Source organism: Homo sapiens, chromosome 8, assembly GCF_000001405.40.
Source record: "Homo sapiens chromosome 8, GRCh38.p14 Primary Assembly".
NCBI lineage: Eukaryota > Metazoa > Chordata > Mammalia > Primates > Hominidae > Homo > Homo sapiens.
Window position 1 is genome coordinate 131,902,922 of NC_000008.11, and position 13,851 is coordinate 131,916,772.

General features: G+C 41.9%; 1 protein-coding gene across 7 annotated transcripts in view, besides 3 other annotated features; it reads left to right on the forward strand.

Moving 5' to 3' along the window:
* Nucleotides 1,069-1,548: a silencer, noted in NCBI's record as "silent region_19556". NCBI's record gives its function as "represses an Ori minimal core promoter by ATAC-STARR-seq in GM12878 lymphoblastoid cells {active_cell/tissue: GM12878}" and the evidence as "EXISTENCE:reporter gene assay evidence [ECO:0000049][PMID:35858748]".
* Nucleotides 1,172-13,851, forward strand: part of EFR3A (EFR3 homolog A) — a 109,550-nt gene continuing 96,870 nt past the window's right edge. For 5 of the 7 annotated variants that reach the window (NR_136615.2, NR_136616.2, NM_001323553.2 and 2 more), the window contains exon 1: nt 1,172-1,401. Coding sequence is in view for 2 of the 7 variants with exons in the window: in NM_001323558.2 (NP_001310487.1) it covers nt 1,392-1,401 (10 nt within the window). In the remaining 5 variants the exon portion in view is untranslated. Of the gene's footprint in view, nt 2,410-13,851 lie in introns of all 7 variants that reach the window. The other 2 variants (NM_001323555.2, NM_001323554.2) reach the window with 1 other exon arrangement.
* Nucleotides 2,119-2,168: an enhancer, noted in NCBI's record as "active region_27991". NCBI's record gives its function as "activates an Ori minimal core promoter by ATAC-STARR-seq in GM12878 lymphoblastoid cells {active_cell/tissue: GM12878}" and the evidence as "EXISTENCE:reporter gene assay evidence [ECO:0000049][PMID:35858748]".
* Nucleotides 13,779-13,848: a silencer, noted in NCBI's record as "silent region_19557". NCBI's record gives its function as "represses an Ori minimal core promoter by ATAC-STARR-seq in GM12878 lymphoblastoid cells {active_cell/tissue: GM12878}" and the evidence as "EXISTENCE:reporter gene assay evidence [ECO:0000049][PMID:35858748]".

A 13,851-nucleotide genomic window follows, 5' to 3' on the forward strand; every position in this document is an offset into this window, starting at 1 on the left:
TCGCCATGTTGGCCAGGCTGATCTCGAACTCCTGACCTCAGGTGATCTGCCCACCGCCCACCTCGGTCTCCCAAAGTGTTAGGATTACAGGCGTGAGCCACCGTTCCCAGCTGGACAGTCTCTTTTATAGGTACAGTACACACTCTCCTCTCCCCAGCTGCCATGACTCACTCTAAATTACCCTTCATCCTCTCCCCAGCCTCTTTTAGGACTCCCCTAGGCTTTGCTAATTCAAATTCTGCTTTCTTCCAAGTCCACCTCAAGCCAAGACTAATTTCTCCTCAGCGCTTCCTAGCTCTGATCTTCATGTTCTTCATCTTCTCCTCCCAGTACTGCACAATATCATTTCTTAATCAGAAGGTTAGCCCTACTTTTTAGGACAAAGGTTCTCAGTATTATCATTGTATTTAAATCATCTGTATATGTGTTCGTAGATTTGGCTCAGCACCTAGGAATCTGCTTTTCAACAAGTCCCCAGGGGATCCAAGCACAAAAGGATCCTGGACCACTTTGACCCACTTTGAGGAAGGCTGTGTTAAACCTCTGCGGTTGGCTTTTATATCTCCATATGGGCTGTCCGCAGCCCACGGCGCCTAGCATAGTGTAGGTGCGTTGCTCAGCTCTCTGGCTCCCGGTGTCTGCTCAGCTTGGTGACTATTAGATACCTCAATTATTAATGACACCCAGAGTCAAGAAGAGTAGCTCAGCCAAGTGCACAGAGCTGCCCTCTCCAGAGGAGACTAACTCCTGAGGGATAAGGTCGCTCTGAAAGTCACAAGAGCAAAAGGAAATTACATTTTCTGCCCTCTCAAAAAATGAGCAGCCATCACCCCAAATGACCTTAGTGCATCTCAAATAAACCATGCTTTCAGAGTATGCAAAACGCACTGCAAGTTAAACCGATTGCAAAAGAAAAAGCCCACAGGTACTCCGTGCGCTCAAAGCCATCATCCTCACAAACGTAAAGTGATGCACTCCAAATAGAGATCAAGGAAAACGAATGCCACGCAGGTCACCAGGCTTGGAAAATAGAAGGCACCCGAAGTTGTTCTACGTGGCTGTCCCCAGCCACCCATTCCACCCGCTCGACAAGGGATCCTGGGCCGAGCCCGGCCATCCGCGGGGGCGGGGCCGGGACGGCGGCGGCGCGCTGACGTAACGGGCGTGGGTCGTCCGTCGCGCCGCCCGGCGAGGAGTGGGCTGGCGGCGGTAGCTGTCGCCCGCTTGGTTGCGTGACCGCGGGGTCCGCGTCCGCTCCCTCCACCCTTCGCCCTTCGCCCTTCGCCTCGTTCCGGCCTCCGCGGCCCAGCAACGGCCGTCATGGTGCCGTCGGCGCTCCCTGCGCGGCCCCGCTGAGCCTCGGTGCGGCGGCGAGCGCGGTCGAGATCGCCATGCCTACCCGTGAGTGGCCGGCCGAGGGCCGGGGGCGTTGGGAGGCGACTGCCTGCGCGACGCGCTTGGGCCGGGTACTCCTCCCGGGCGGCTGGGGAGGCTGGGCCGCGCTGAGCAGAGCCAGGAAGTGTCTGCGAGCGGCGGAGTTAGTTTCGTTTCGGCTTAGCCTTCCGGAGATGGCGTGAGCCCGTTGCACGGATCGGGAAACTGAGGCCCGAACGTTAAGGGAACTGCGGGGACGCGCTGTTAGGAGGCGGCAGAGCTGGTGGTAACCTGACCCGTGGGATTTCAAAGTTAAAGCCCTTTTCCCACGGCCACACGGCTTCGTGGGACTTTATGGAAATATTGAAAATAACTGCGGTACCATTGTCAGTCCCTTCTCACCTCGGGCCGGACGTCGCTAGTGGACGCGCCGGCCCCGAGTCCCTTCCCGCGGCCGCCAGACAGACCCCCGACAGCCTAACTCGGCGTCCGTATCGCCGTCGGGGCGGCTGAAGTCGGAGCTTTCTGTGGAGCTTGTTAGGCAGAGGCACCTCGACTGTGGCTTTTGGACCACACTTCGGATTCACCCGGGCAGATGATTAAAAATGCCGGTTTCGGGACCCGCCCTATTCCCATGGAATTAGTCTGGAGCTTGGGCCCCGGAGTCTGCATGTCTAATAAGCGTCCCTGGGGTTACCAAGGCACCCCAAAGTTTAAAAGTCACTCGGTGTTGGAGGATTTTTAGACAGACGCGATACTACAAGTACTGCTAATGACCTATTTTAAAATGACCCAGATAATCGCAGTGTGACTTTATAGCCACTGGTCAATGTGGATATGTGCAAACTAGGGAAGCTCCTGATCTTGGGTAGAGAGGAAGCAACTTTGTCATTGATTTGAGAATTCAAGTAGGACTCCTTTGACTAAGTGTTCAATACTATAGAATCTTTACACACTTGTGAATATATTTCCTAGAATTCATAACTACTTCTAGTTGTCCTTGTTTTGTAGCCATCTGGGACGCTGAATTTCCAGGTCAGTCTCCAATGCACGTTTCGTCTAGTGGTGGGAAAAGATGAGTTATTTCTTGATATTATAAAGATTGATATTTTCCTGATATTTAAGGATATTAAATTTAAATTGATATTAAAGATATTTAAATATCTTTTTGAGATTTAAAGATTTTCCTGTGGCAAATCTTTACATAGTCCTGATGTAGAGATTACTTTTAACTCCTCATACATGTGTGGGTACTGTGGATTTTGTTTTCTTCACACACTACTGTGTGTCCTTAACTCACGTTCTTGGACTTCGCATCCAGTAAATATGTCCAGTTTAAATTTCTGTTTTATTCCTTTTGGCTGGAGGAATATCATTTACAATCATCTTCATTGTTATTGCCAGTTTAGTACTTCTAAATTCATGTTCACGTTATTCAGTGAATATCTGAGACTAGCACTATGCTAATCTTTTATTTTCTGAGAAACCAAAGGGGAGGAGGTAAGCACCTATTGAAAGTTGAGGCTTCAAGTAGAATTTATTGGTAACATGCCAGAATTATCCTGTGAAATAAAATTTTTAGTTATGTTCTAGGGTTATCTAGCTTCACAGAGTGGATATAGTAAACTCGTTTCTTTTCAAATGTTGAGTTCATTCTGCAAAATGATTTTAGGATGGGCCATGGTGGAGTTTACATAGTTAAGAATGCAGATTTCACACCCTGACTGGAAGACAAGTGAAATGTTTGTTTTATCTGTCATTGTTAATATTTGTCATGGTACATTTTTTATGACTGAATAAAAATGTGCTGTGGATTGATTGGGGGTACCAGTGTGAGGTGAATAGTGTTCATATTTGCCTTTTCTCTCCTTTGGCAGTCACAGCTGCCGAAATTGCTGGGATAGTGCAGTGGACAACAATATTTCTTTGAAATTCTGTTTGTAGAATATATATCCAACACAGAGATGGCAAAATTGTTATTCTCTGTAGGAATTTAGGAGGAAGTTCACAGCTCTTAGGAGGAAAACTGTGCTCAGATAAGCTAAGTGTTTTTGTTTGATTGGTTGTTTTAATGTTAAATGGTTGAGAGGCTTAGTGATAAGCCCAAGCCAGTTAATCCGTACGAGTTTTAATTAAAATCAAAGGGTTGGAGGTGATCACTGTGGTCTCTCAGACTCTACAATTCCGAGAGCAACCCTTGCTGTAAGTCATAGAATTATTCTACTCTTGCTATTTTGTTGCTTATTTGGAATATTGGTACTCATTGAAACTGTTGTTAATAACTAGAATCCAGTGAAGCATGCAGTAACCCCACTGGTTAAGCAATGATATATCTCATGAATATTAACAGCCACTTCACTAGAATTATTTTGGAGATCCGTAGACTCTTTGAGAAAGCAACCACCTGGAAGGATGCCTGACAGGAAACTGCCAGGACACAGAAACAATTTTGTGGTCGTGTTACAAGCCTGTAGTCTGAAACAATCCTTAGGCACAGATTTCAAGACTATGCTGCTGAATGCTGTTGCAAACCTGTAAACCTATAATTTGACACATCATTTTTCTAGAGGCCTTTATTTCATTCTCCATTCAAAGGACCATTAAGAAGCGTTTTATTTGAAAGATTTTCAAACTCTGAATCGGAGTTTGAGTTGGAACGACTGTTAAAGCTTCTTCATCATTTTATGTTGTGTATCGGGAAGCTGAGCCTTCTGAGAGTTTCCATGGAGTAAAACCATGACTTGAACACAGAACTGGCCCCTATAATCAGTAACCACAGTGAGCATAGTAACATTAATTTTTCTCTAGCACTAAATTGATAATAGTTTAGCCTTTTTTTCCCCTTGAGTTACATTAAGACAAATGTAAGCTTGGTCAAAAATTTAAATCGTTCTGTGAACTTACAAGAATGCATTTGCTTCCATCCTGTCACAGAAATCTTTGGAAAAGCTGTGGATATCACTGGTGTGCTAAGTAGATTCTTGTTTATATAGACACAAACTTAAACTTTTAGTAAACTCCTTATGTGAAAATGGCTCCTGAGTTCACAGATAACTTGCCTCAAAACAGGTCCGGTAAAATGTGCTCTTTTATTTTATATGAAAAGTTATTCTATATTTTCTAGGGAAAACCAAAACTCTCAAATATTGTTTGCTGTTAAACTATACTTTGAGTAATTATGTGTGTTGAATGCTTTCTTTTCTCATTTAGGTACTGACGTTGAGGTCTAGGCAAATTTCTTAGGCTGTAATAATAATATGGTTACTCCATGTTTGTTTTTCTTTTGATGAGGCTAATTACATTTAACTTATTTTTTAATTTATTTTTATGAAAGAAATGCAGAATGAATTATAAAAGAGGGTTGCTGATTGAAGTGTTTTCCTTTTAGAGACACATTACATGCAAACTTGACCTACACTTTCATATTACTGGATTATTAGCCTTTTGTGTTCATTCATATTCTCATTCTTTCTCTCCCCTTTTCCCCTCTTCCCCCCTTTCCTCATTGTCCCTTTGCTTCCTTCTCCCCTCCCCTCCCATCTCCCTCCTTCCTCCCTTCTTCTACCCACCACCTATGTGTCCTGCCAGAGTTGTAGCTGATGAATTTTCTTTTTTGCAGTGACCTTTGGCTTGACACTGCCCTGTTTGCTGCCCAGATCTCATCTTTCAGTCTGTCCCCACTTGTGGGGACATGGGGCTACATTAATGATTATGTAGGTGGTAGGAGATAATGCTGGAGAAAGAGAAAGCCAGAATTTGAGGTTTTTTTTTTTTTCTTTTTTTGAGAGGGAGTCTCGCTCTGTCGCCCAGGCTGGAGTGCAGTGGTGAGATCTCTGTTCACTGCAACCTCCAAATCCCGGGTTCAAGCAGTTCTCCTGTCTCAGCCTCCCTAGTAGCTGGGACTACAGGCATGTGCCACCACGCCCGGCTAATTTTTTGTATTTTTAGTAGAGATGGGATTTCACCGTGTTAGCCAGGATGGTCTCAATCTCCTGACCTCGTGATCCACCCGTCTCGGCCTCCCAAAGTGCTGGGATTACAGGTGTGAGCCACCGCTCCCGGCCATTTGAGGGGTTTTATATGCTCTCGCAATCAACAGTTACGGTGGCTTTTTTATAGGCTTAGTAGCAGTTTCCAACTTACTGATTACTTTATGAAGACTTACAGTTTGCTATTAGTAATAGGAAGTAATTATTGAATACTGATTGTGTGGTAGGCAGTATACTTTGTGCTTTACCTGAATTATCTTCTTTAACTCTTCCACTTTGAGGGAGGCCCTATTTGACCTGTTTTAGAAGATAGAGAGATTGAAGTTCAGAAAAGTTAAGTAACATTCCTAATGACAGTAAGTAATAGAGCTGTTATTGCAACTAGATGGGTCTGACCTCTTAAGTCCCAGCTCTTTTTTCATACTATAGTGCTCTGAGCCAGGCAGGAGTTGAACAGGATCCCATCAGTTTTACACTGTCACTTTTGCTTAGCACTGTGCCTGGTTATATAATAGGTGCTTGGTAAATGCCAAATAAATTAAAAATTGAATCTTTACAAAATTTTTAAATTGATACATAATATTTTCACATTTATGGAGTAGGGTACATGTGATATTTTGTTAGATTCATACAGTGTGTAACAATCAGGTCAGGGTATTTAGAGTATCCATCACTTTGAGTGTTTATCATTTCCATGTGTTGGGAACATTTCAAATCCTCTCTTCTAGCTACTTTGAAATATACAGTACATTGTTATTAACTATAGTCATCCTACTCTGTTATCAGACATTAGAACTTACTCCGTCTAACTGTATGATTTACCTATTAACCAACCTCTCTTCATCCGCCTTGCTCCCCCACATGCTTCTGGCCTATATGCAGAATAGATTGAATTGTAACTGGAGTCAGATAAGTTATTCTTTGGATACCATAACCGGAACTTTTTTTTCCCATAAAGATAGTGTTATAAAAGTTTTATAATTTGGCCAGGTGCAGTGGCTCACATCTGTAACCCCAGCACTTTGGGAGGCCAAGAAGAGAGGATCGCTTTTGGCTGAGAGTTCTAGACCAGCCTGGGCAACATAGACCCCGCCTCTACAGAAAAATTAAAAATTAGCCAGGTGTGTTGGTACATGCCTATAGTCCTAGCTACTTGGAGGCTGAGGCAGGAGGATTGTTTGAGCCCAGGAGGCTGAGGCTGCAGTGAGCTATGGTCTCACTACTATACTCCAGCCTGGGCAACAGAGTAAGACCTATCTCTAAAAAGGAAAATATATATATATTTAGTTTATGATTGTGTTCTTTGCAGGCCTGTCTGTACCACATTTGAGGTCTGAGACAAGAATACAAATGGAGGTCTGCAAATCATAGTTTAAATCAGGGATTTTCAGTCTTTACACTATTGATGTCTGGGACAGGTTTAGGGGTAACAGGGGCTGTCCTATGCACTATAGGACATTAAACATCATCCTTGGCCTCTACGAACTGGAAGCCAGGAGTAACCCTCCTGCCCCAAGCTTCTGTCAACCAAAAGTGTCTCTAGATATTGCCAAATGTTCTCTGGGGGACAAAATTGTCCCTGGTTGAGAACCACTGGCCTAAATATTTAAATGTTATAGACCATACTATGCCCGCAGCCTGGCCTGCTTTCCCATGCAGGGTCCCCAGCCTGCTCCCTAGGCATTGCCGTCTCAGTGCAGAGGTCCAAGTAGCTTGCAGGCTTGATCCAGTCAGTAGGACCCTGGCCTGGGATTGACTGTCAGTTTCCTTCAGGGAGCCAGGGTGGGCAGGTTCCCCTCCTTTGATACTGTACTTTTCCATCTCAGGATTTCTAGATAGATAGTTCCAAGCATCTCCCAGAACTATACTAGCCGAGTAGCTGGACAGATAGAAGGTGGAAGCCTAGCTTTTTGGGGAACTCATTCTGCTTAGACTCTGACTCTAGGTGACATGGAATGGGGAACTTGAAGCAAAAACAGCTGCAGCCATCTTTCTCTGGTAATTTGAGATGGAGTCTCACTCTGTAGCCCAAGCTGGAGTGCAGTGGTGTGATCTCGGCTCACTGCAACCTCCACCTCCTGGACTCAAGCTATTCTCCTGCCTCGGCCTCCCGAGTAGCTGGGACTACAGGTGTGCGCCACCACGCCTGGCTAATTGTTTTGTATTTGAGTAGAGATGGGGTTTCACCATGTTGCCCAGCATGGTCTTGAACTCCCAAGCTCAGGCAATCTGCCTGCCTCGGCCTCGCAAAGGGCTGGAATTACAGGCGTGAGCCACTGTGCCCAGTCTTTCTCTGGTTTTCTAGGGCAGTGATTTTCAGTTATCACTACTCCATGCACTTTCCCACCCACACACACCTCTGTAAAAGGAGAGACAGTCCTCTGTGTTTCGCAGGGCAGAGGCCCTTTTTTTCATGGGTCAAATAAGATACTGATTTTTAGGATGAAACCACATTTTACTCATTACATGGCTCAACTCTGGTGTGGAATGATCCAGTTATCATATGCAGTGTTTCTGTTGTGGTGGGATGGATTGCAGTGAATGAATCTTCATCCTATAGTGGGAGTAGAGAGGTTTTTATTGGTACCATTTAAGGAAAGGGGTCCCAGACAGTCTCAGAAATAAAGAGAAGGGCACAGAAAATCCCAATATGGCCCGCAACTGCTTCAGAGAAGAAAGAGTGGACCGGAAGATAGGACATGAGTCGTTTGTCTAGGTTAAGGAGCCTTCAGTCTTTTTGCTAAATTAACCCTTTTGAGAATCTGATGAAAGCCATGATTATTCTTCCCCAGAAATGCAGATTCTCACCCAAAGTTTTGCATGTAATTTGAAGCAATTCAAAGGCATACTAAGATGGAAAAATGAAGTAAATCACCACAGTGGCAGTTCTCTGAGAAAAGCACCCTAACTGAGGTTGTGGAAGAATATCATTTGCCAAATATATGATGCCAATATAAGTATGTCTTTCTTCTGCTTTTTTGTCTGTTTTCCCCCTAACCTTTTAACATTATCTTATTTTTTCTTACCTTCTCTGTTAGCCTACTGAAATCTTTAAGGTATCATATAATATATAGATGGATATTCAGTAAGGCTTTTCTAAAATTGGTATCTATGAAGAGAGTTAGTTTAAGAATTGCAGGATCACCAGAGAAGGAACTTTAAGAGAGGGAAAAATGAAATTGAATAGAATTTGAACTTAAAAGGCCGTTTTATCCAATCATTAAGGGGAAAGTGAAACCAAAGTAGTTTTGGGGCCAAGGGTAAAGTTCCCCTTTGCCCTCTGAAGGTTCACTGAAAAATCAACTGACAAAAGGCAGATTAATTGGAGAAAAGGCATACAAATTTATGTAACGTATATATGCACAAGAGCCTTCAGAATGAAGACCCAAAGATACGGGGGAAAATGCCCATTTTTATGCTTAGGTTCAACAAAGTATGGACATTATATAGAAATATTGGCCAAAATACGAATGATCTAATGTTAATAGACTGAGTGGGGAAACTCAGCAAGGCCCATCTAGATTTTTCTTGGATTATCTGAGCATGCATTCTTTTCTTCTGGGTATGGGGCAGGACCCTGTCTGGCTTGGGGTCTTGTGACCCACAGTCAAACAAGGTAGGTCAGGTAATTTCTTTATGATCAGTTTTTACGCAGAAAGGCCGAGGGAAAGTTAGAGTAATATTTTTCAGTTTTATGACTGGGTTTGGGGAAAAAGGGTTCTGGTTTTTGTAACCCACCTTGGGGAAGAGCGATTCTGGTTTCTATAGCTAGCCTTAGGGGAAAATGGGACTGAGAGACAGGAAGGCAGGAGAAGGTCAGAGAAAAACTTTTGTTTTTGAGGCCTTCATTTTGGAGTATGTTTTCTGAGGCCCAACAATAGGTTAACTGTGCCATTCAGCTAGATAATGGTGTGGTACTAGAACCCAGCTCATCTGAATCCTGGGTGGGTGTGCTCACAGCTACATACTTCCTACGACCTGCATGGCACATGGAAGGGGTGGGAGATAAGCAGGATAGAAACCATGGCTAACAGTATGAAGAAAGATTCAAAATTAATATCAAATAGGAAAAAAGATATTATTTACAGCATTTGTACAAATCTGAAAGCAAAATACTATGAATCCTATGTGGTTAGAGTACATTTTTGGTCTCTTAGATTACCAAAAGACTTAACACTAACATGCAGAGGCAGTGAAGTACAGTAGAAAAGACAGAAGTTTAGATTGGTACAGCATTTTTAGAAAGCAATATAGCAATATGTTATCAAATACGCAAATCTTAAACCACTGACACAGTAATTTCACTTTTGGGGATCTATCCTTTTTCTTCTCTATAATTGGTGTTTTCCTTCTACAGTTAGCATTCTACAATCAGAGAAGAAGATTCTTAAGATGTTTTTACAGCTCAACATAATTTTTTCAACATTTTTATAATTCAACATTTTATAAAAATTTTTATAATTTTTTTCAAAACCTTGAAATGACATGTTAAAATGCTGCTTTGAACTGGTTTTTCTTTAGCCTGTAGAAAAGAACTTTGAGTTACTGGTCAAGTAGTTTTGACCATACTGGCTTAGGAAAACAGCGCATCAGCTGTCTGATTGCTATCATGTAAAAATCTGTGAACGACTTTGAGAAGTCATTGGTGGATTATGTTGTTCAGGAATAGGAATGGAGCTTTCTTCCTATCACTTGTATTTTTTTTTTTTTTTTTTTGAAAGGAGGAGGAGGAGGAAATAATTTCTGCCTTATTAAGTGGTGGTTTAAATCATGAAAACCTGAAAGGTTGAGATGAGTCATGATGTGGGGGTTCAGTTTATTGGGAACTGACAGGTTTTTATTTTTCTGTTTTTTTTTTTTTTTTGAATGATCTTGTGTTGTAGAGTTGAATACAGTTCTAGGGAAGTATGATCACAAAATGAATGTTGGCAGTTCCTCCTATGATTAATATGTCAGACATGTCAAAATTCTCTCATCATGTGTATTTGCCGGGTTTATTCAGTTCTTGAAATGAGGCAGCTCTCAAGTATATTCTAAAGCAAACAGGAACTACTATTTTTCTTCTTTCCATGTATGGTATCATATTATCCCTTTTGCATATGTATTTCTTGCTCTCTGACTTTAGGTGTTATTAGATAGTGTGATTCTAATTTTTATGGAGGAAGGAAACACTAGTCAGGTTTTTTTTTTTAATTTTACTTCTGAATCAAGAGTTTTCTGTATTCTTAAATTAGGCATTAAGCCATTTGCTTTACAGTCTTTAAGAGGAATTCTGTCCTTCTAAATGCTATTTTTGTTTTTATTCTTAGTTGGTGAGTTATTCAGCTGTACCTTTTTATTGTTATTACCTGAACTCCAGGGTATTTCTGCTGCAGTAGTTTTCTGGATAATGCTAAGTGTTCTTCACATCCCTGTTGTTTAATTGGTGTTTTTGAACAGCTGTCTTGGCAATTAGCTACCAAGTTCCCTTGATGTGGTTACAGTTAACTGTAAACGAATTTCACTCCTGATGAGCCGAGTGAAGTGTAAGGTGTCCAAGGTTGGCGTTGTCATTTCCTGGAATCTCATAAACTTTGCAGAAGGTACTGTGCCAGGCTAAAGGAATGGCCCATTTATGACATCTGACTTGGATTGTTTTATTTTATTAACTTAGTTAAAAATAATTTACTAACTTTTTAACCCACTAACTGGAGAAGATTTTATCTCCTACGCATATTTAGATGTAATAGAATTTACGTAACTGTGCTTTAGAGGTGGAAATGCTTTATGAACATGTTGTTAGAATCAGCAGGTTATCAGTTCTTGCATTATCATCCCACCATCTGCTGCAGCTGGCTCTAGAAGGGCATCTACAGTGGGGGGGACACTCCAGGCAAATGTATAACACCTAAGATTCTGGCTCTAAGTCCCTATGGCTTCTCCTGTTTTCTTAGCTGGGCTGGAGTATGTGAATTTCAGAGGTCCAATTACTTTTCATTTCACAACTCAAATTGGAAGCAGACTTAAGTGACTTGTCATGACCCCTTTTCCCTTGGTTCCATCTTGCTTCTTTGTTTGGTCTTCCAGTGATGGGGGTATCTGCCCCAGGACAGTTCTATTTCTAATACCTATACAGAAGCTCCTTCCCCTGGCACAGCATCCTCATTGTTGATTCCTGAGGATTTCATATTGCTCTTGACCCACATTGATGAATACAATCAGTGAGGGTGGCCCAAGGGAAGCTTGAGCTTTTAGAGCCGAGTTTTCAAAATTTCTTCCACAGAGTATAATAAGGACTGTTGTATGGGAAGGATTCCGACAAGACTGTGCAGGTGGCCCTCTCTATCTGACCAGCTTCAGCTGGAGCAGCTCTGTTTTTTTTTTAACTTTTATTTTAGGTTCATGGGTACATTTACAGGTTAGTTAATAGGTAAACTCGTGTCACAGGGGATTGTTGTAGTACTATTGTATTGTTGTAATATTATTGCACCCAGGTACTAAGCCTAGCACCCAGTAGTTATTTTTTCTGCTCCTCTCTCTTTTCCCACCCTCCACCCTCAAGTGGGCCCCAGTGTCCATTGTTCCTTTCTTGGCGTCCATGAGTTCTCATCATTTGGCTCCCACTTATAAATAAGAACGTGGTGTTTGGTTTTCTGTTCCTGTGTCAGTTTGCTAAGGATGATAGCCTCCAGCTCCATCTGTTCCCACAAAAGACATGATCTCCTTCTTTATTATGGCTGCATAGTATTCCATGGTATATATACACCACATTTTCTTCATCCAGTCTGTCATTGATAGGTATTTAGGTTGATTCCATGTCTTTGCTATTGTGAATAGTGGAGCAGCTCTATTTTTATCTCTTTTATTTGTGACATTCTGCATTTGGTTTCAGTAGTGTTGGCTACTTGTAAAAAGTTTGAGGTTTATAGTATTAGACATTAGAATATGCCCTCTGACAAGAATTTAAGCTGTTTTATAATCAATAGCTCGGGAACCTAGAGGCAAAAATAAAAACTGTTTAGTTGATAGTGCCTCACCTGTTTTGCTCTCATGATCTCCAAGATGGGAGATTTTATAATCTCTTCTTGTAGTCATTTCAGTCATAGGTACTGTCAGTATGTTCCTAGAATCACAAGTGTTCTTTCAATTTTTCTTGTTTTCCTGTTGGATTTCTCTTAGCAAATATTTTTGGGCCTACATTTGTAAAGCACTGCTGGCTGGAGAATACAGAGGTGAATAAAGCAGTCCCTAGCTTCAAAAAGTTTACCTTATTTATAGAAGGGTATAAATTGCTATAACACAGAGAATGGCAAGCACGATTAGAATGGTGCTATTGGGGGCCCAGGGGAGAGACTGCACCTCTGATTGGGAGAAGAGAGCAAGGGGAAGATGAGTGGAGGACAGCTTTCTAAATCCAAGTGCCTTAAAGTATACTACAGATACAGTGGTCAAAGGAGAAATGCTGGATTGGGGAAACTGTTTGAGATGAGTTATGCAGGTGGAAATAACCATTAAGCAGTTTAAGTGAGACAGTAGTGCTAGGGAAGGTGAAGAATCTAAGGCTGTGTATGTGTGCACACCTGCGCATGGTAATTTTGTCTTTTATTCACATATTTATTGAATGCTATGTGTCATTTATTATGCTAGACACTGAGGATACGGTGCTATCCTCATACAGGACATATGGACACCAACAGGGGTGTCGTCCCTGCCCTCATGGATCTTGGTCTGATGGGGAAGAAAGGTGCTCAGCACGTAGTTAAACTGATGAGACAGGGAGCTTTAGAGGGCCTATGGTTTCTTTCCTTTACTGCTGTGTTTATAGTTTTGGTATAGTGTCTGGGCCATGGCACACATTCAATGTATGTTTATAGAGTGAATCAAAGAAATGTAATAGATGTTAATAATAAAAGAAACACAAGTTGCTATGTAAACATGTAAGTGAGCCTGGAGGAAAAGCAGTTAGAGGTTATTAAAATACAGTAGTCTAATTGGTGGGCTTTGGACTTGGATGGTGGTTGTAGGAAGGACTGCAGTGAACAAATGTGAACACTTTTGAGGAAATACAATTGATAGGATTAATTGGATCAAAGGATTGAGGGAGAAAGGGGAGTAAGGATTTACTCAGGTTTCTGGCTTTATCATATGGGTGAATGGTTCTGGTTTGCTATAGGGACTTTTTGGAGGAGGAGGAATTTGGGGAAATTGAGATGGAAGATGAGTCCATTTTAGGATATGATGAGTATAGTGCCTTAAAGACATTCATGTTATGTTTGTAGGAGTAATAGTGCATAAAATTACTGAAGGATAGGTTGTATAGAGGCTAAAGAAGCTGAGGGCAAACTCTTGAGGAACATGTTTATTTAAAGATGGAGTGAGGCACAGGAACCGAAGAGGGAGCAGGTGGGTCATTTTTTAAACAAATACCATTGCAACAAATGTTTGCAGGATGAGAGTTATGCAAGACTCAAATGACTCACACTTATTTTTAGTAGCATTTGAATATTCC